Here is a 21,686-nt window from a genome sequence, read left to right as displayed (position 1 = left end):
CTACTGACAATCTTAAAAATGTTTATAAAACGATAGCTGCATCAAAACTGCTGTAATACAAAATAGTATTAGCCACTGTCCCAACCCCTCATCACCTGAACTGTTTTGGCTACAGCAACCTGAAAACTAATTATCTTAAACCCAAGAGAAGCCAACATCCTCTTAGTGCTCACTGAACCTTCTTCCGCTAGGACAAGTGTGCTTTTTTAAAAAATACACTTCTAAAACAACCAGTGATGTTGCTACAAAATACCTTACAAAATGCCTTTTAAGTAAAAAGACATAGGAAGGAACTGATTCTCAGAAATTGGTAGGAATGTCCAATCTTTTGGCTTCCCTAGGCCACAGTGAAGTATAATTATCTTGGGCCACACATAAAACACACTAACACTAACGATAGCTGATGAGCTAAAAAAAAGAAAAAAAACTCGCAAAACAATCTCATAATGCTTTAAGAAAATTTACCAATTTGTGTTGGGCCGTATTCAAAGCTGTCCTGGACCACATGCAGCCCATGTGTGCAGGCTGGACAAGCTTGAATAGAGTCTTTTTTATCTATTAAAAAAAAAAAAAAAAAAAAAAAGAACAAGTGCTTTTATCTTTATCCTTTAGGGTTAATATGTAGTTTGGGTTTTTCTACATTTCTGGCAAGGGCACATGATTTTTCACCATTCCTTTTTTTTTTTTTTTTTTTTTTTTGAGACGCAGTATCGCTTGTTGCCCAGGCTGCAGTACAATGGCATGATCTTGGCTCAGTGCAACCTCCACCTCCTGGGTTCGAGCGATTCTCCTGTCTTCAGCCTCCCAAGTAGCTGGGATTACAGGCACGCGCCACCACACCCGGCTAATTTTTGGATTTTTAGTAGAGACGGGGTTTCACCATGTTGGCCAGGCTTCTCTTGAATTCCTGACCTTAGGTGATCCACCTGCCTCAGCCTCCCAAAAAGCTGGGATTACAGGCCTGAGCCACTGTGCCTCGCTCACCATTCCTTTCTAATTAGAATGAGTTTGCATGTCTTGTATATGTAATTCAGAGGTTGGTAAAAGTGTGCAACACAGTGACAATGATGCAAAGTCAGTCTGTGATTTAAAATTTTTTCAAAAAAGAAGACAAAAGGAAATAAAAAATTGTAAATTCACAAAGTGGATCATCAAAGGTTGATACACCGAGGTCAAGCAACATAAGAAGTAATTATTCTGAATCAAAGAACTAGTGGAAATGTAAAAGATAGTAACAATTTTAATATTTGAGTTCTTATGTTCTAAGTACTGTTCTAAATACTGTATTTGTATTACACTTCAATTAATCTTCCCTCAAATCCTTCCTATGAAGTAGACTTTTCCTTTACAGGTCAGGAAAGTGAGGCATAGAGTGGTTAAGCAACTTGTCTAAGCTATGAGGCCCATGACTCAAACGCAGGCAGGCCAACTCCAGAGCCAAAACAAAAAAAGACACATTAAGCAGGTTTTGAGGTTTATTAAAGTAAAGAATTAGCAAACAATATGCAAAAACAAAGTTCTTAAGAGTTATGGCTTTCAAAAGCACAATATAGTAAAACCTAATACATTTTCATAAGTATCAAAATAACAGAATTGAAGCATGTTGCTAGAATTTCAGCTTCTACAACATAAACAGAAGCACAACAAATACAAATAAGCAGCAGACCTACAGTGCAGCCACTAGCTTGGTCTTCATTATCTGTATATGAAATATCTTTTTAAGAAAATGTGGGCAGGTAGATACAAACATTCTATTTCCATGATTACAATCCTCTTCGATTTTAAAATAAGTGAATTTCAAAATACAACTTACGCCAACCATATTTAAAAAAAAAATCACTTGCCTAACCATTATCTTCTAGAGTTCCTATAGTTAAAATACTTTATGAATAAATCAATGCAACATCATCTTCAATGATATTAGAAGGGAAAATCTGACCCTAAAAGATTTTTTTTTTTTTTCCACAAAGAACTTGGGATTCTTTGGCCTTACTGGAGTTTTGTTATAGCTAACACCAGTCTGTATTAATTAAGAAGGCACTATTAATGAGGGACGGAAAAATCTACCTGTACACAAAATTCTGTACTTTAACAGCATCTTCAAATAAACCTTTAAAGGATAATGGTTTACGATCATTTTAAGAATTTTAAGAACTGAGTTATTTGGACAAGAACCATACAAACCTTTTTCACTCTGCCATGAATGATCGAAGAATCCTGCTCTAGGACTGGATCTTTTCAGAGAAAATAACTTATCACCTGTTTTACTGCAGTTGCTACTAGCAATTATTATATAGCATGTGCTCTTCAAAACAGAAATAAAAATTGATGTGTGAAATCCCTTTCATTGGTTTTGGTAAACCATCCAATTTTGGGCTGTCATTTCAATTATAATACAGTTGTATTTTAAGAGAGAAGATAATCCAATATAACAAAGGCTTGATAAATATTGTCACTCTGTAATCAGGACATACTAAACTGTAATTCAGCGAATTCCAAAGAACTTTCCAGGTTTCTGTCCAGCAGGTAGAATTCTTTGTTTATGCAGAAGAAATGCCTTCAATTCTCACATTCGATTCAGGCATCTTGTGTGATAAGAAAAGCTCCTAAGAATCTTACTTATATCAATGAGAAAAATGCTGCTGCTCTGGGAGACCTGAGATTACTCCCCAAAAAGCTGCCCTAATAATATCTGATACCACCTATAAACCACCACTTAGGAAAACTCTCTCCATAAAAATCACCAAACACTTCTAAAACCACCAGGCTACCTACTACCCTAAGATACTTGCTCATCTAGCTGAACAATATAACGATGACACACATTTATATTCATACCCAAGAGATTAGGTGAGGATTTAACTAGTAAGACAAAGAAGGGATCTGACATTCTTTAAAGTTAAAATGTAAGTCCAAAATATAAGTCATCACAAAAGGCTGAACTCAGTAATTATCAAAAAATTCTTCCTTCCTCATGAAGTAAAAAGGATATTTATATATTTTAAGTGGCAAAGGTGATAATCATCCAAAGTACTATTAAGCAATTGATTAGAAAAAGTATAAAGAAATAGATCTAAATTGGTACATCAGATGTTCTCTATCACAGAAGTACAGCACTTTGATAGGTACTATCAAACTTTTTAGAGTTTCTCTGCTGTTGGAAGAATTTCATTTTTTGTATAAACATTCTCTTCCAACAAAATACTACCACACAGGGGAAGGAACTGTTCCCCACAGGTACCCTCAGGTAATATGGAAGGTTTTTAACATGAACCCCAGTTCTAATCTTGACAACAGATTTCAGGTATGAGTACTTAATAATCACTTCACATCCTGAAGGATATCTTACTCTCAAATGTTATGAAAGGTATAAAATAGCTACATCCTCTATCTGTGCCATTAGATGTGGCTTGTTGAACTGTCTAGTACTCTTACTCTGGATTTCACCTCAGAAACCCAACCAATTCTATTATTTTTTTTATATAGCAACAATACAATGTGAAAAATTATTTATATTCTGACACACATATTTGACATTTTGATTGACGTCTTCCTTAAATCTCCTCTTAAAAAGAGGGTTAGTTTTAGCAGATCAATAACACGCCTACTAGTTTACATTTCACGTCAGCCAGGCAATACTGACCAGACCAATACTGACCAGACCATAAATATTATGTAGAAATGTTAAGCAAATGAATCTCTTATATCTTGCTTTTTGCCAATCAATATCTTTTTGTTGCTTTAATTCATTACTGAGATTTCATTCTATTCTGCTGTTTGCATTACCAAACTGGTTGCAATTTTATTATTCCCAGATTCTGTCTTTTCAGCCAGCATAAATATATTGTACATGCTATGTGATTATTCTAGTGGTGCTAGAATTTTACTATAAAACATTCTGTAGATTAAATTAAAACATATAACCATAATTTGCTAAAATGGTTTCTTTCAGAGGTACTTTCCTTTCACTAGCCAGTTTTTAAAAATCTTACTAGCAAATTTTATCTCCTATACATAGATATATGAAAATCCTTAGGGACTGTAAGAATAGCTGGACTGAATAAAATTTTCATTTAAAGTCCAAGGGTGGGGAGTTGACAACTTTTAGGAGATACAACAGGCTTATAGTTCTCTGTCAAACTCTTAGTTGTTAATAGCTTTAGTACTGTCATTCATGAGACACAACTCCTAAGAGAAAACAAAGAAAAGGCCAATCACGTAAGATCTTGTTAACTCAAGACTGTGACATAATGACCCCAAATAAAAACAATTTTTAATTAACTCACAGTAGAAAACACCAATAAAACAACTCTCTAATTTCCACTAGTTTACTGCAGCCCAATGAAGTTGATTACATACATCAGTCATTCAATTGGAGTAATTTTTTCCTACAAATTTGTTCCAGAGATCATGCCATAAGCCTGGTTAAGTAAAAGAATGATGAAAATGCCAAAGTTCTATCAAGTAAGCAAATATTCTCTTTCGTGTGGCAGACAGAACTCTGGAAGAAACAGAATGCATGTCATGTAATACTTACATTTAAGGCTCAGGTGACTGTCAGAAAGTATTTCTTTTACCCAGCAAAGAACTGTGAGCTGAAACACAAATGGCAGTTCATCTGAAAGAACTAAAACCATCCACTGGCTGCACATTGAAAAAGCAATAAATAATGACACAGAAAACAAAAGAAATTGCATAATTCTTTCCTCGAAAATGCTTTTTTTTTTCTTCACAAGAGCAGAAAGGACAAAGTGGAAAGTCAAACCAAACTAACATTTTAAACAGAAGAATGATATGACTCCATATACTTTCAAAAGGCACCAGAAAATAAAGCTTTCACTGATAGGTAAATTAGGTCATTTTTTTTTTCCAAAATAATTTCTTCATTCTCATGTCATAATTAAGTGTCCATTTGACAGCTCCTGAGAAAAAAACTGGTTCAAAGTTCTTTATCCAAAGCCAAAAACATGATTGATTAAATGGATATTTTGGAGTTCGTTCATGTCTTTTCTCTCTAAAGATTGTGTTTTGGGAGACTAGCTTCCACATAAGTACTTAAAAAATGGAAAAAGAGGATCATCGATAAATGAGAGAAGAGTCTATATTCGTTGATGGGTGAGTGTTTTGTTTTGTTTTGTTTTTTGAGGCAGAGTCTCGCTCTGTCGCCCAGGCTGGAGTGCAGTGGTGCGATCTCGGCTCACCACAACCTCCGCCTCCCAGGTTCAAGTGATTCTTCTGCCTCAGCTTCCCGAGTAGCTGGGACTTCAGGCACGCACCACCATGCCCAGCTAATTTTTGTATTTTTTGTAGAGACAGGGTTTCACCATATTGGCCAGGCTGGTCTCAAACTCCTGACATCATGATCTGCCTGCCTCAGCCTCCCAAAGTGCTGGGATTACAGGTGTGAGCCACTGTGCCCAGCCGAGTGTTTTAAAATCAGCTATCCCTACATCCACTGCTGATTCATTTAGTATCAAATCAGTAGCCTTATCCTTGGGGCCCAACTGAAGAGCCTCCTACGGCTCCAGTGCATAGGTCCTTGCGTAGGGAGGCTGATACAAGTAAGCTGACACTTGTAAGAGCAATGGGATTAACTACATGATTCTCCAGCACTGATAACACCCATAAAACTGTAGGGAATTAAAAAGGCACCTTAAGTTGGAGCTATAGAATAACAGTCTTATAACCTAGGTTGAAAGTAAAACAAAAACCAGAAAAAAGCATAACTTCCTACAAATGTAATCTATAAATTGCAGTGTTTGTTAATACAAAAAAGGTACCAAGGACGTAAGGATAAGCATCTAAGTCCAAGTCACTTGAGTGTATTTTATCAAAGGTTATGCTAAAAACTGTCACCCATAAAAGTGCAAAATAAAAGATTAATGCATGTCAAAAATAGAGTTCTTGCAACATTGTCCAAAAGCAGCAAACATAGTTGAACAAGGCTGTGCATGCACTGTCACTAGCTATAAAGTAATGCTTATGACAGATTTTGAGTAAATGACATATACTTGAGATCAGTTATTTGCAAAAATTTTTTTAAAAAAGGAAATGTCTTACAAAAGATATATAGCATGAAGTCACATTACACTGAAGAACACTTATCTGTATTAAATGTAAATTTTATGTCATCTAGAAAACTATCATTTTGCTTTTACTGAACACTACCAGTTACAGCAGTGCATAGTGTTCATTCAAATAAAACTTTATAGTTTCTTTTAAGCCCCTACCATACACTTTTGCAAAACAATGAATTGTACTTTTTTTTTTTAAGTTGGTGGGACAAAGAAACTGGTAAAAGTACAGCTTCTGGAAGATCGAGAGTAGGAGGGAAAACTTACTCTTCACTGTATATGCCCTCTTATAAGCTACTATAATTTTTCATCATGTGATGCATTTTCAAATAAATTTAATAAAAAATTGTTAGGGCAATAAAGTAAAAGCATGTTCCAGTTTAAGATCAATGCCAAATTTCTGAACTGGGGCATAATACTTACTCTGCATCTTTTACAACACTTCTAAGAGTTAATCACATGAACATGAATACAAACAAATGTAGATTCATCACAAAATACAAATGTATTGGTCACAATTATGTAGAAAAAAATAAGCTGTAATATCTGTTTTCAATGTAAGCTCACAGTATCTGTACTCAAAGTTTCTCTAAAATTAAAACAAGTCCACTAACAATATAATTGAAAAGAATACTTCTGCATTATGAAACAGAAGATATGGGGTTCAGAGGGGAGCCCATCTGAGTAAGGACTTTATCCAGCCACTGAAGAGGCCCATGAAGATGAATCTCAATCCAACATGGGGTGCTGGTTACATCCTGCCGGTGATATTCTGCTCCCCAACCCTATGAAAATGAACAGATATCATCACAAATCCCTCTTTAAACTGTCAACCACTCTAAACCAATTTTACCATAAGAAAAAGATAGCTTTTAACAGTAGAGATATGTAGAAGTTACATAAAGAGAATAACTATCACAAAACCAGTCTTAGTATTCACCATGAAATTAAAAGACAACAGCTACATTATTTAAAGATTCATGAATTCTAAAATAATATATAATTCCCTTAAAAGAAACCCTTAGAGCCAGTTATAGTTCATAATTTTTTTTAATCTTAGAAAGGTAACACAGTACAGTATCTCATAATTAAAACAAATATTTCTGATCTGAGATACATTCTCCCTTAATGGGATAAATGCAAAATAGAAAATCACCACTAGAACACCACAGTAATAATTACTGTAGACAAGATATATTGAAGAATGCAAAAATTGTGGGTAAAATATAAAGGAGAAACAGTGTATTTACATAGCCCCAAAGAATCTGCCTGCAAATATTTATAAATACCATTTTCTCTTAATTTCTTTGTAAGACTTAATGACTATTTAAAGGAAAAATTTTAACTGTATTATAAGATATAATGTGCAGATGTAAAATTTATGAATAGCACAAAGAATAAAAGAAGGTAATTAAAACTCTTCAACAGCAAGGTTTTCATATTTTACATTCTAAAAATAGTACAATATTAACTCTAGGTAGATTGGGGTATGTTAAAGATAACGTGGTAATTCCTGGAGAAACCACTAAAAAATGTAAAGAGATGTCACTTAAATACTAATAAAGGAATCATATATAAAAAATCAAAATCAAAATCATAAATAGCCTCATGTAAGATCATGTCACATGTCAGAGTTTCTTTTTTTTTTTTTTTTTTTTTTTTTTGTGAGACAGAGTTTCTCTCTTGTTGCCCAGGCTGGAATGCAATGGCGCAATCTTGGCTAACTGCAACCTCCGCCTCCCAGGTTCAAACAATTCTCCTGTCTCAGCCTCCCTAGTAGCTGGGATTACAGGCACCCACCACCATGCCCGGCTAATTTTTGTATTTTTTAGTAGAGACAGGGTTTCACCATGTTGGCTAGGCTGGTCTCGAACTCCTGATCTCAGGTGATCCACCTGCCTTGGCCTCCCAAAGTGCTGGGATTACAGGTGTGAGCCACCTCACCCGGCCCAGGTTTTTTTTTTTAACGAAAAATTTTTTATTTTCAAGTTGTTTGAATATCAGATAAGGCATTGTAGATATTGATCAATACATGCATGTATAATTTAATGTGGCAGTCACATAGTGATTATCCTTTAAGGTTGGAAATTACTGGGATGAACTGAGCTGAAATCTTTAGCCTAAAACTGCAGATAAAAATTGAAATAGAAATTTTTCACTTTTATTTTCCTGGATTTATCAGGTTCTCTGGTTTACTGCTTATGGTAGTCTTGGCCCAGGAAAACTGGGTTGGGGAGGGAGGGCGGTCAGGGGAGTGAAGAACATTGGGGAGTGGAGATTAAAATAAATATGCAAAAGTCACATTACTGTACAAGAAGGCAGAAATACCTTCAGGGTAACCAGTAAACTGATGTATACAATAGATCTACAGCAAAGTATCATGAAAACACTGGACTGGGGCTGAATACCAAAAAGAAAAAAACCCATGCACAGCGTGTGACAGGTGCTCTTCTTGTGCTAAATTCTTAAGAACCATGTAGATACAGTACAGATTGCTTAAATATGTAGATACAGTACAGATTGCTTAAATACATGACTAAAATTCTTTTCAGATTTTAAGCACAAATCTTTGGAATGTCAATACAGTCAGGTGAAGAGAGTAGATGAAAAACTTGAAAAGTTCCTTTGAACTTTGCAAATCCTTAATATTAAGGTTGGTGGAAAAGTAATTGTGGCTTCTGCCATTACTTTTAATAACAGTACTTAGCTAGGAATGAAATAATTTTAGTATTCTAAAGAATTCTGCCAAGTCACCCTAATGAAATCTAGTAATAATAATCAAAACTGTTGAAGTTAAGAGACTCAAATAGCAATTTTAATATTAAATGCTGATATGATTTGGCTGTGTCCTCACCCAAATCTCATCTTAAATTGTAGCTCCCATAATTCCCACATGTTGTGGAAAGGACCCAGTGGGAGATAACTGAATCATGGGGGCAGTTTCCCCCATACTGTTCTCACAGTAGTGAATAAAGTCTCATAAGATCCGATAGTTTTATAAGGGGTTTCCCCTTTCATTTGGCTCTCATTCTCTCTTGCCTGCCGCCATGTAAGATATGACTTTGCTCCTCCTTCACCTTCCGCCATGATTGTGAGGCTTCCCCAGCCACGTGGAACTGTGAGTTCATTAAACCTCTTTTTCTTCATAAATTACCCAGTCTTGAGTATGTCTATTAGCAGCATGAAAATGGACTAATACAAATGCTTTCTAGAAATTTAGTCTTTTAACTAAAATTCCTTATAATCTCAGCCCCTATTCAATATCAAAATCAATATCAATCATGCATTTTATAATGTCTAGATTACAAAATGAAATCTTAGATCTATTATGTAGTTAAAATTACAAATTCAATAATTTTATTTAAAAACCTGTTAAATCAGGCCAAAAGCAATTATCAACTTTCATTTAACAATTTTTAAAAATTATAACCTAAAGTCATAATATACACATTTATAGTGACTCAAATTATGTTAGAGGTCACAACTCACCTTGACAAAACTCATCCGAATGGTACACATTTTGGTGAGCTCATATACTGCCTCAAACCCATGGTTGACAGATTGAGCCAGAAGCTGAGCAAACTCCTGATTGTTAAAAATTTTGAGGCTGCAGCTGCTGGGAATCTTACAGACAGTGGTGGGATGAAAGCCATGATGAAAGTTGCAGTTCCTACTCTGTACAAATATGCTGCTGTCACTGAGGCATTCCGCATACACCTCTCCACCAACATAGTACAGATGAACACCTTAAAAAGACAAACATCACAAGAGTCAGCTAAAAGAATCATTACAATGAAACCAAATAGACTGTATGGTGCAACAAAAGTACCCATTAATCCACAGCAAACTTCCAGCAGTCTTTAGACAGAAGTTACCACTAGATGGCCTTCTGCTGCCAAAGATAATCAAGAGGTTAATGTCTGCCTGCATCTACAAGAGAAGCCTCAAATAGGCAGCAGATTAAGTTATCCATTTTTAGGTTGTTCTCTTTTTCCTTTCCCAACAATCATTTATCATCTCTATGAGAGAAAGAGAGGGCTAAAAAAAAAAAACCCCAAATCATCTTTTGATGAGTCCTTTCAAATAAATCCTCAGTGCTATCAACTATCATAAACAGTCATTTGACAGACTTTTGCACTCTTTGTGCTAACAAAGAGGACAGCAACACTAAAAAAAAACCAAAGTTACATATATAATTTCAGGTCATAAGAAGAGCTTTGAAATGGCAGATTTATCTTACTTAAAATTTTTTTATATTTAAAAATATATATGTTCCTTTGCAAGATGTGAGGGCAAAAAAAATAAAAATTTTAAAAATATATAAATATGTGGAAATAGTTTTAACATTAAATATTCAAATTATATAACTAAAGCTAGTCACCTAGTATTTTCCCAACATATCCCTCCACCACCCCAAAACTAACCCATGAAAGAAAAGGTCCTAGAACTATATGCTGGGGAAAAAGAAAAAACTGATTCTAGAATTTCAAAATTCACAAAATAGATTTCCCTTAAATTACTTCTACTGTGATGGAAGAAAAAAAAAATCAATGCCTAGAAGTGAGGCACTTCACTGAAAAAACTAAGGCAAGTTGGCAGTAAACTCAAGACAATGAAAACTTTGTTTCGTAACTTATTTTTGGCCGCAGGATTTTTTTGAATCACTTCTATAAGAAATCCTATCACAATTATATTTATTTACCTTTTATTCCTATTTTGGACCAAGATGCCCTCAAGTTAAAGAAGCAAAATGCAGCAAGGGGTAAAAACAAAACTTCTCAAGAAACAGGCAATACACTTTACCTGGGATGGGTTTCCTTCCTGATCACTTGATGCATGAGACTTTGACATTTTATTGCAGTATGAAAAGGGCCCGGTTTGTTATGGCAACTATCTGCAGGATGAATTATTAATAAAACCTTATTGCCTAAATTTAAAAGATGGGAGCAGTGGTGGTGAAGCCACTGGAGTATCATTCACACTAGATTTCCCATTTCTAATTCCGCTCCTCTCACATCATGGTAACACTTACAAGTCATCTCAACCCAAAATACTCCACAAATACCTTAATTATAAAATTCTAATCCTTCACCAGCATTCATACACAATATTCCATAAATATGTGTTGTGTATTTACAATGAGGCACTCTTCTAGCTACTGGGGATACTGCTGTGAACAAAGCAAGTTCCTGTACAGCTTATGTTCCAGTCAGGGTAACACTCAAAAAACAAAGTGGTAGTATGATTTCAGATCCTTAGCACTGGGAAGAAACACTAAGCAGGACAAAAAAATGAGGGAACATCATGTCTTTATTTGATTAATACATTCTTCAATATCGGCAACTTAAGGCAGAGGCCACGTGTCAAACTTCTTTGTATGTTTCTAGCACCTTTCACAATGCATGGTTCATGGCAAGTACAACAAATGATTGAATTCGATTAAATGTAGGAAAATGACAAGATTACCTTTTCCAATATGTCGCCTAGTGTTTTCAATTGTCGAATTACGATTAACATTTGACAACAAACCCAAGCAGAATCTACTTTTGTTATTTGAAGGATCTGTGAATCCATCTACTAACACACTAGTAGAAGATGCATGAAAAGCTTCTCCAACACGATTGTTTAATTCATAGTAGACTATTGAACACCAATGTTTAGGCTCTTCATAGGCAACAGGCTGAACATCTGTGAACAAACCAGACACAGAAAGAGTTTAATACATATCAGAAACTCAGATTGTCCATGTGTTTATCTTTTAACCCAACCCAAGTATTACATGAAAAAGAAAATTTTCAGATATTTCACAAGTCTCACTGTCCTTCCTAGCTGTGAATCTATATCCGAAAACAAGCACTAGAAATCAGCTTGAATATGACAATTTAAAAAGTTATAGAAATACCAGGATCGGCAATAGTCGTAGCTTGCTCAGGCTATAAAATACCGTAAGGCTGAGTGGCTTAAACAACAGAAATTTATTTCTCACAGGTCTGGGGGCTGGGAAGTCCAAGATCAAGGTGCCAGAAGATTTGGTAACTAGTGAGGACCTGCTTCCTGGCTTGCAGACAGCTGCTTTCTCACTGTGTGCTCATATGGCCCCTCCTCAGTGCATGCTCTTAGAGAAAGATCTGTTTCTTTTCCTCTTCTTATAAGGGAACTAATCTCATTATGACAATCCCACTCTCAAGCCTAATTATTTCCATCTTCAAATACCATCACACTGGTAGTTAGGACTTCAACATATGAATTTTAGGGAGATTCAATATGGTCCATTAGCATTCCACCCCAGCAACCCAAAATTCACATCATTCTTACATGTAAAATACACACATATATTCTATCCCAACAGCCCCTGAAGTCTTAACTCATTTCCACATCAACTCTAATGTTGTAAACCCAGTATCATCCAAATATCATCTACATATGACATACGAGACTTGAGGCAAAATTCCTTTCCAGCTGTAAACCTATGAAACCAGGTAAGTTACGTGCTTATGGTGGGACAGACACAGGATAGACGTTCCCATTCCAAAATGGAAAAACAAAAAATAAGGGAGTGATGATGGGTCAAGGAAGCTGAAAACCTAGCAAAGCAAATTGCATTAGGCCTTAAGGCTGGAGAATAAACCTCTTTGGTTTGATGTTCTACCCTCCCAACCCTCTGGGTGGAGTGAGGAGGTGCCCAGGCCTTGGTTCAAAACATGAATTTTGGGACGACACAATTCAGAACATAGCAGCAACAACACATTTTTAATTGTTTTTCTAACATAAACTAATTCAGGTTTAAATTTGAGACAAAAAATTCTTTTTCAGAGACCTGAAGGATTTAACTATAATCAGTATCTGTAAAATTATTTTAAACAAAAAAGTTAAACTAAAAAACTAAGTGAGACTCAGCAAATTAGGAATAGAGGGGAACTTCCTCAGCTTGATACGGAACATCTACAGCTAACATCATACTTAATGGTAGGAAACTAGAAGGTTTTCTGCTAAGATCAAAAACAAAGCAAAGATGCCTCCTCTCCCACTTTTCAACATCATACTGGAAGTCCTTGCTAATGCCATAAATAAATAAAAGGTACACAGATAGGAAAGGAGGAAATTGTCTTTGTTTGCAAATTACATGATTGTCTATGTAAAAATAAGAAAGAACTGACCAAAAAATTCCTGGAACTAGTAAGCATTATAGCAAGGTTGCAGGATACAAGGTTAATAAGCAAAAGTTGATTGCTCTCCTATACAGCAACAATAAACAAATGAAATTTAAAATAAAAAAATTATAATTTACATTAGTATCCCCAAAATTAAATACTTAGGCACAAATATAAAAAAATAGGAACATGCTCTATGAGGAAGACTACAAAACTCTGATGAAAGAAATCAAAGAACTAAATAAATGGAGAAATACTGCACATTCAAGAATAAGACTCAATATCGTCAAGATAGCAGTGTTTCCCAGCTTAATCTATAGAGTAATAATGCCAATCAAAATCCCTGCAAGCTATTTTTTGGATATAGACAAAATGATTCTGTACTTTATATGGGGAGGTAAAAGCCTCAAAATAGCCAACACAATATCAAAGGAGAAGAATGAAGTCGGAGGACTGACACTACTTCACTTTAAGACTTACTATAAAGATACAGTAATCAAGATCATGATAAAATAAAAGAACAGACAAACAGATCAAAGGAGCAGAATAGAGTTTAGAAATAGACCCAAGTAAATACAGTCAACTGGTATTTGACAAAGGAGCAAAGACAATACAATGGAAGAAAAAAAAATCTTTTCAAAAAATGATACAGGAAACAACTGGACAGCTACATCAAAAAAGTAAATCTAGACTAGACCTTACACTCTTCACAAAATTGACCCAAGATGGATTACAGACCTAAATGTAAAATGCAAAACTATAAAACTCCTAGAAAATAATACAGGAGAAAATCTAGATGACTTCTGGTATGATGATGCCTTTTTTTAGGTACAATTCATGGAAGAAATAATTGATAAGCTGGCCTTCATTAAAATTTAAAACTTTTGCTCTGAGAAAGACATTGTCTAGAGAATGAGGAGACAAGCCACAGATTAGGAAAAAAAAAATCTGAAAAAGTTCTATCTGATAAAAGACTATAATTCAAAATATACAAAGAACTCAAAAACAATCTGATTAAAGTATGGCAAAAGATATGAGTAGGGAGCCCACCACAGACTCACAGATTGGTCAAGTAAGCATGTGAAAAGATGTTCAACATGTTATGTCATTAAGGAATTGCAAATTAAAACAACTATGAGATACTACTACACACCTATTAGAATGGCCAAAATCCAAAACAATGACAACATCAAATGTTGGTAAGGATGAGGAGCATCAGGAATTCTCATTCATAGTTGGGAATGCAAAATGATACAGCCATTTTAGAAGGCACTTTGGCCGTTTCTTACAAACCTAAACATACTCCTACCATAAAATTTGGCAATCATGCTTCTTATTCAAATGAGATGAAAACTATATCCACATAAAAAATCTGCACATGAATGTTTATACCAGCTTTACTCATAATTGCTCAAACTTAGAAGCAACCAAAAGGTTCTTCAGCAGGTGAACAGATAAACAAACTGTGGTACAACCAAGACAATGAAATAGTATTTGGTGCTGTGATGGTTAGTATTGAGTGTCAAACTAATTGGATTGAAGGATGCAAAGTATTGTTTCTTGGGTGTGTCTGTGGGTGTGTCGCCAAAGGAGATTAACATTTGAGTCAGTGGACTGGGAGAGGCAGGCCCACCCTCAATCTGGGTAGGCACCATCTAATCAGCTGCCAGCGTGGCTAGGATAAAGCAGGCAGGCAGAAGATGGAAGAGCAGACTTGCTGAGTCTTCCGGCCTTCATCTTTCTCCTGTGCTGGATGCTTCCTGTCCTCAAACATCAGACTCAAATTCTTCAGCTTCTGGACTCTTGGACTTAGACTAGTGGTTTGCCAGGGGCTCTTGAGCCTTTGGCCACAGACTGAAGGCTGCACTGTCAGGTTCCCTACTTTTGAGGTTTTGGGCTTGGACTGATCCACCCCTGGCTTCCTTGTTCCTCAACTTGCAGATGGCCTATCGTGGGACTTTACCTTGTGATCACATGAGTCAATTCTCCTTAATAAACTCCCTTTCATATATATTACATATATCCTATTAGTTCTGTCCCTCTAGAGAACCCTAATAGAGATGCTAAAAAGAAATGAGCTATCAAGCCATAAAAAGACATGGAGAAACTTAAATGCATATTACTAAGTGAAAGAAGCCAGTCTGAAAAAGCTACATACTGTATGATTCTAACTATGACATTTTGCAAAAGGCAAAACTATAGAGACAGTAAAAAGATCAGTGGTTGCAAGGGGTTGTGGGGAAGAAGAGGTGAACAGGCAGAGCACAGAGAATTTTTAAGAGGTAAAAAATGATTCTGTATCATATCATAAGGGTGGATACATGTGTTAAAAACCCACAGAATGTACAAAACCAAGAATGAACCCCACTGGATAATAATCATGTGTCAATGGAAGCTCACTGACTATAACAAATGTCCCACTCTGGTGAGAGATGCTGATAATGGAGGAGGCTGTGCCTGTGTGGGAGAAGAGAGTATGTGAGAACTTTCTGTACCTTCCACTTAATTTTGCTGTGAACCAAAAACTGAACTAAAAAATGCAGTCTATTTATAAAGAAAAACAAAAAAACAAAACAACTAAATGAACATTATCTTTGGGTAAATAGAGGTATATGTTTAAATTTTACATGCCAGAACTGCCTACAGAAAAAGGTTTATACACAATATAAAATACTGGCCAAACTCATTAATATAAAAGTCAGTAACTCATAATAGACACAAAGGGTAGAAGAGATACATGGAAGCTCTACATCCCAGCACCCTTCCTGGAGCTGAAATCAAGCAAAGAAATCACAGACCCTCAATTCTCTTTCAAAAAAGGCAGGAATATGGCTGGGTGCGGTGGCTCACACCGGTAATCCCAGCACTTTGGGAGGCCAAGGTGGGCAGATCATGTGAGGTCAGGAGTTCAAGACCAACCTGGCCAACATGGTGAAACTCCGTCTCTATTAAAAATACAAAAATTAGCCGGGTGTGGTGGCACATGCGTATGATAATCCCAGCTAGTCGGAGGCTGAGGCAGGAGAACTGTGAGCGAATTGTGCCGCTGTATTCAATCCCGGGTGGCAGAGCGAGATTCCGTCTCAAAAAAAAAGGGGCAGGAATAAAATAACACCAAGGAAAATGTAAGAGTAATCACATGGTCTATGTAGGCAATTTAAAATAATTGGTTAACTTTTTTTTTTTTTTTTTTGAGATGGAATCTCGCTCTGTCATCCATGATTGAGCACAGTAGCATGATCTCGGCTCACTGCAACCTCCACCTCCCAGGTTCAAGTGATTCTCCAGCCTCAGCCTCCCGAGCAGGTGGGATTACAAGCACCCACCAGCAAGCCCGGCTAATTTTTGTATTTTAGTAGAGATGGGATTTCACTATGTTGGCCAGGCTGGTCTCAAACTCCTGAGCCTCAGATGATCTGCCTGCCTCGGCCTCCCAAAGTGCTGGGATTACAGGAGTGAGCCACTGCGCCCAGCCAACTATTTTTTTAATAGAATAGTTTAACTTTTAAAACTCAATTCTGAGTTTTATATGGCAAAGAATTCAGATGAGAAGAAAGAGAGGAAAATAAATCAATTCTGAGTATTCAATGGCAAAGAATGCAGATGAGAAGGAAGAGAGGAAAATAAACCACTGTAAGCCCAAAGAAGTCTTAAGAGCTCAGATTTTAAAGTTTATACAAAGTTTATACATGTAGAGGCCCATTCCTAAAGACAGGTACAAATGAGTTGCATGAAGTTATAAGAGTAACATCAGGAAGATTAGAGCTAAGAACGAGCAGAAGGTTATAGAAAAAAAAAAATGCTAGGCGAAACTAAAAAGGCAATTTTGGTTAAAAGGAAAAGAGGAACCAGAAAAGCACTGCCTCTGCTCAAGGCAGAAGACGTATTGTTGCTAACAGGTGGTTCCAGGCACTGCCGTTTAACTTTGATTTTCTTTTTGTCACTTTTTTGGCAAAAAGAAAGGAGAAAATACACATAATCTGACTGAAATGAGAAGAAATTCTAGTGAAAAAGGTATCTACAAAGGTGAGAAAATGTGAGTATCAAGTTCCTCTAAAGGGGCTCAGTTGTTTGGTTGAGACAAATTACATTCCAATGGACATCTAACATATAACACTATTAAATGGCACTATGATCTCTGGAAAATCAGGAGAAAAGAAAAGGAGGTTAAGTGGAGTAAATACAGTCCATATTTTCAAAAGGAGAATAAAGTGGAGTAAATACAGTCCATATTTTTAAAAGGAGAAAAATAATACTATTTATTGTGTACGGCCTAATGTTGTGTGCTAAAATCATTACATGTATTGTCTAATTTAATCAACATATTAATAATTCCAGCATATCATCCCTATTTTGTAAATGGGGAATCTCAGGCTTAGAGATTTAAAAACTACCTACATTGCAAAGCAAATAAGTAGAGAAACAGGAATTCAAATCCAGAAATTCATGTTCCATTTTTATGGTAAATGAAGGTAGATTTTAAATTATAGGCAAATTAATATAATGAGATTTCTTGATAAATTCTAGACATTATAGAAACATTAACAAAACTATTAGGGGTCTGGAAATTTAACTGCTCTTAGGAATACAGAGCACTCAATATAACACACATTCAGTATTATCACAAACATAGAAAACACATAAAAACACATTGTTTTAAGAAACGTATAAAATAGCAGTACATATTTCTAAACTTGGGACAAACTAAGGAGGTTAAGGTCTCAAACCAAAGTGGCATTAAAGCCACAATGACACCATAAAGATATACAATTTTTCATTTGTCAATTATCCAAAAAAAAAAAAAGATAAAAAAAATACAGAACAACCCACAGTGAGATATCTCTTCATACCCATTAAAATGGTCAATATCTAAAAAATAGAAAACAAGTGCTGGTGAGGATGTGAAGAATATGGAATCCGTGTGCACTGTTGCTGAGAATATAAAATGGTACATCCACTGTGGAAAACAGTATGGCTGTTCCTCAAAAAAGTATAAATATAATTACCATGTAATCCAGTAATTGTACTTCTGGTATATACTCAAAAGAAATGAAAGCAGGATCTCGAAGAGATATGTGTACGCCCATGTCCACAGTAGTATTATTCACAATAGCCAAAAAAGTGAAAGCAATCCAAGTGTCTATCAATGGATGAATAGATAAACAAAATTTGGTATATACATACAACGGAATATTACTCAACCTTAAAAAGAAATGAAATTCTGACATTGCTACAATATGGATGTGCCCTGAGGAAAAATAAGCCAGTCACAAAAAAAAAAAAAAAAAAAAAAAAAAAAAAAAAAAAATTGTATGATTCCATTTATATGAAGTACTTAGAGTGGTCAAAATCATAGAGATTAGAAAGCAGAGTGGTGGTTGCCAAGGGCTGGGGGAAAAGGAGAATAGGAAATTTTTATTTAACAGGTATAGTTTCAATACTACAAGGTGAAAAGAGCTATAGAAATGGATGGTGGTGATGGTCACACAACATTATAAATGGATTTAATGCCACTGAACTGTACACTTAAAAATAGTTAAGATGGTAAAATTTATGTTATATATAGTTTGCCATAAAAAAACAAACAAACAAACAAAAAAAAACAGGGCCAGCCTGGGCAACACTGTAAGACTCCATCTCAACAACAACAAAAAAATTGGCCAAGCATGGTGATGCATGCCTGTAGTCCCAGCTACTCAGGATGCTAAGGTGGAGGAGCACTTCAGCCCAGGAGTCTGAGGCTCCAGTGAGCTATGATCACGCCACTGCACTCCAGTCTGGACATGACAGAGCAAGACTCTGTCTCTAAAATAAATAAATAATTTAAAAATTAAAAATAAAACAAAACAACAAAAAAATAGGGGGAAAAACCTTTATAGGAAAGCTTTAGCAATCAAGACTATGAGGTATAGATATGTAAGCCAACAGAGTCCTGAAATAAACCCTGGCATTTACAGTCAATTGATTTCTGACAAAGATGTTAATTCAACAAAGAAATGATACTCTTTTCAACAAATGGCAAAGCCAACTGGATTTCTATATGCAAAAAACTTAATGTAGACATTTACCATATACCACATACAAACTTAACTCAAAAGGAACCACTGACCTAATATAAGAGCTAAAACTATAGAACTTCTAAAATAAAACATAAAATAATATTTTCATGACCTTGGGATAGACAAAAATTTCTTGAATTCAACACCAAAAGCATAATCTAGAAATGAAAAAACTGACAAAATGGATTTCATCAAAATTTAAAGCTATTACCCTCAAAAAGACGTCATTAAGAAAATGAAAAGAAATCCACAGACTGAGAGAAAATATTTGCAAATCATATATCTGATAAAGGATTCATATCCAGAATATACAAAAAATTCTTACAACTCAGTAAGACAACCCAATGGGCAAAAGATTTAAAATAAACACATCAAAGAAGATATATAAATGGCCAACAAGTACATTTAAAAAATGCTCATCATTGCTCATTAGAGAAATGCAAATTAAAACCACAATAAGCACTTTACACCCACTAGAATGGCTATAATTAAAAAGCCAGACAATAACAGGTGTTAGGAGGATGCAGAGAAAATAGAACCCTCATACTTTGCTGGTGAGAATGTAAAATGGTACTGCCGCTTCAGAGAAGTTTTATAGTTTTCTTAAGTAGTTAAACTTACCATGTTATTCAGCAATTGCACTCCTAGATATCTATCCAAGAGAAATAAAACAATATCCACAAAAAGACTTACATGCGATTTTTGTTTGTTTTTTTGAGATGGAGCCTCGCTCTGTTGCTCAGACTGGAGTGCAGTGGCACTCCACTCTCAGCTCACTGCAACCTCAGCCTCCTGGGTTCAAGTGATTCTCCTGTCTCAGCCTCCAGAGTAGCTGGGATTACAGGCATCTGCCACCACACCCAGGTAATTTTTTATTTTTATTGTATTTTTAGTAGAGACGGGGTTTCACCATATTGGCCAGGCTGGGGTTTTGAACTCCAGATCTCAAGGGATCCACCCGCCTTGGCCTCCCAAAGTGCTACGATTACAGGCGTGAGCCACTGAGCCCAGCTGCAAATGTTTATAATAATCAAAATACGGAAACAATTCAAATGCCCACTGACTGGTGAATAAATGTGATATATTTATATAAAGGAGTACTGTTAAGCAATAAAAAGGAACAAACTATTGATACATGCTACAACACGGATGAACCTTGAAAAAACATGCTAAGTGAAAGAAGACTACATTATTACATGATTCCAATTATATAAAATGTTCAGAAAAGATAAAATCTACAGGTACAGAAAACAGATTAGAGGGTATGTGGAGCTGAGGATAGGAGTGAGGATAGACTGCAAATACGCAGAGAAACCTTTTTAAAGAGTTAGGGAAATATTCTAAACCTAGACTGTGGTGCAAAACTTGGTGTATTTACCAAAATCTTTGAATCATACACTTAAAACAAAAAAATTTTATAGCATATAAATTATACCTCAATAAAGCTGTTTTTAAAAAAGTAGCCAATAAGTTAAAAACAACTACTACTATAAAATAAATGAAGTGAGTACTTCTCTTACCCCTGCTGGATATACTGGGCATAATCTGAGGAATCATATTATTGCTTGTATCCATAGGCTGGGAATTATCTTGACCCATCTGATCATCAGGTGGCATATAGGCAGGAGGAGGCGTATCAGCTAAGAGGAAAAAAAATAATAATTAAAATCTTCATTCTGCTCAAAATTATTACTCTAAAAGCTTTAGAAAATTCTTAAGATTACCAGCAAGCTTCATTACTGAACATCACACACAAAAAAATGTAGGATACTATCCTAGGGCAAGGGAAAAGGAGAACAGACAGCACACCTAATGGCAATTGAAAACCTACTACAAATCCACATTTATTTAGCCCAGATCCCTGGTAATCCAGGATACAAGGATCAGTCCTAAAATTCACTGAAACAGAATTCAAGGTCAAGAATTTTGCCTTTATTTTTATGTGTTCAGAGAAACTACAGCTATTACATATCAATCTGAAGTACAGATTTTCCTCATTTGGGTATATATCTACTACAGAGACACTTTTAAATTATTAAGATCAGCACATACTGTATACTGTCATTTAAAACTGGAAAGTAAAACTATGTCCCTTCAAAATTTGCCATCAACACTAACAGCAATTGTCTAACGCTTGTGCAACATCCAAATATGGCTGTTGTGTCCTATTAAATGGTTAGGTAATTCACTTAGGAAACTAAATGTTAACTAGAAAATCTTTGAGTTTCAACACTCATAGTTGAAAATTTTGCAAAAGCTACAGCTATACTTTTTTGTCTCAGTAATTATAAATAAGAACCGAATTTGTCTTTCATCCCAATGTTTTGTACAGGATGTATTTTGAGACAGAACTACAATTAGCACTGAATCTAAGACAAACTATGAAAATTTGTTTTTGAGCA

At 35.4% G+C, this 21,686-nt stretch overlaps 1 protein-coding gene across 6 annotated transcripts in view; it reads right to left on the bottom strand.

Moving 5' to 3' along the window:
• SMAD5 (SMAD family member 5) overlaps positions 1,463-21,686 on the bottom strand; it is a 49,889-nt gene continuing 29,665 nt past the window's right edge. For all 6 annotated transcript variants that reach the window (XM_024446047.2, XM_024446046.2, NM_001001419.3 and 3 more), the window contains 4 exons: positions 20,805-20,924; positions 11,541-11,762; positions 9,564-9,820; positions 1,463-6,859 (listed from right to left, as the gene is read on the bottom strand). In XM_024446047.2, the coding sequence (XP_024301815.1) occupies positions 6,716-6,859; positions 9,564-9,820; positions 11,541-11,762; positions 20,805-20,924 (743 nt within the window). In that variant the 3' untranslated portion in view covers positions 1,463-6,715. The remainder of the gene's footprint in view (positions 6,860-9,563; positions 9,821-11,540; positions 11,763-20,804; positions 20,925-21,686) is intronic.

This window comes from Homo sapiens, chromosome 5, assembly GCF_000001405.40.
Source record: "Homo sapiens chromosome 5, GRCh38.p14 Primary Assembly".
Taxonomy (NCBI): Eukaryota; Metazoa; Chordata; class Mammalia; order Primates; family Hominidae; genus Homo; species Homo sapiens.
This window is presented reverse-complemented; position numbering and strand designations above follow the sequence as displayed.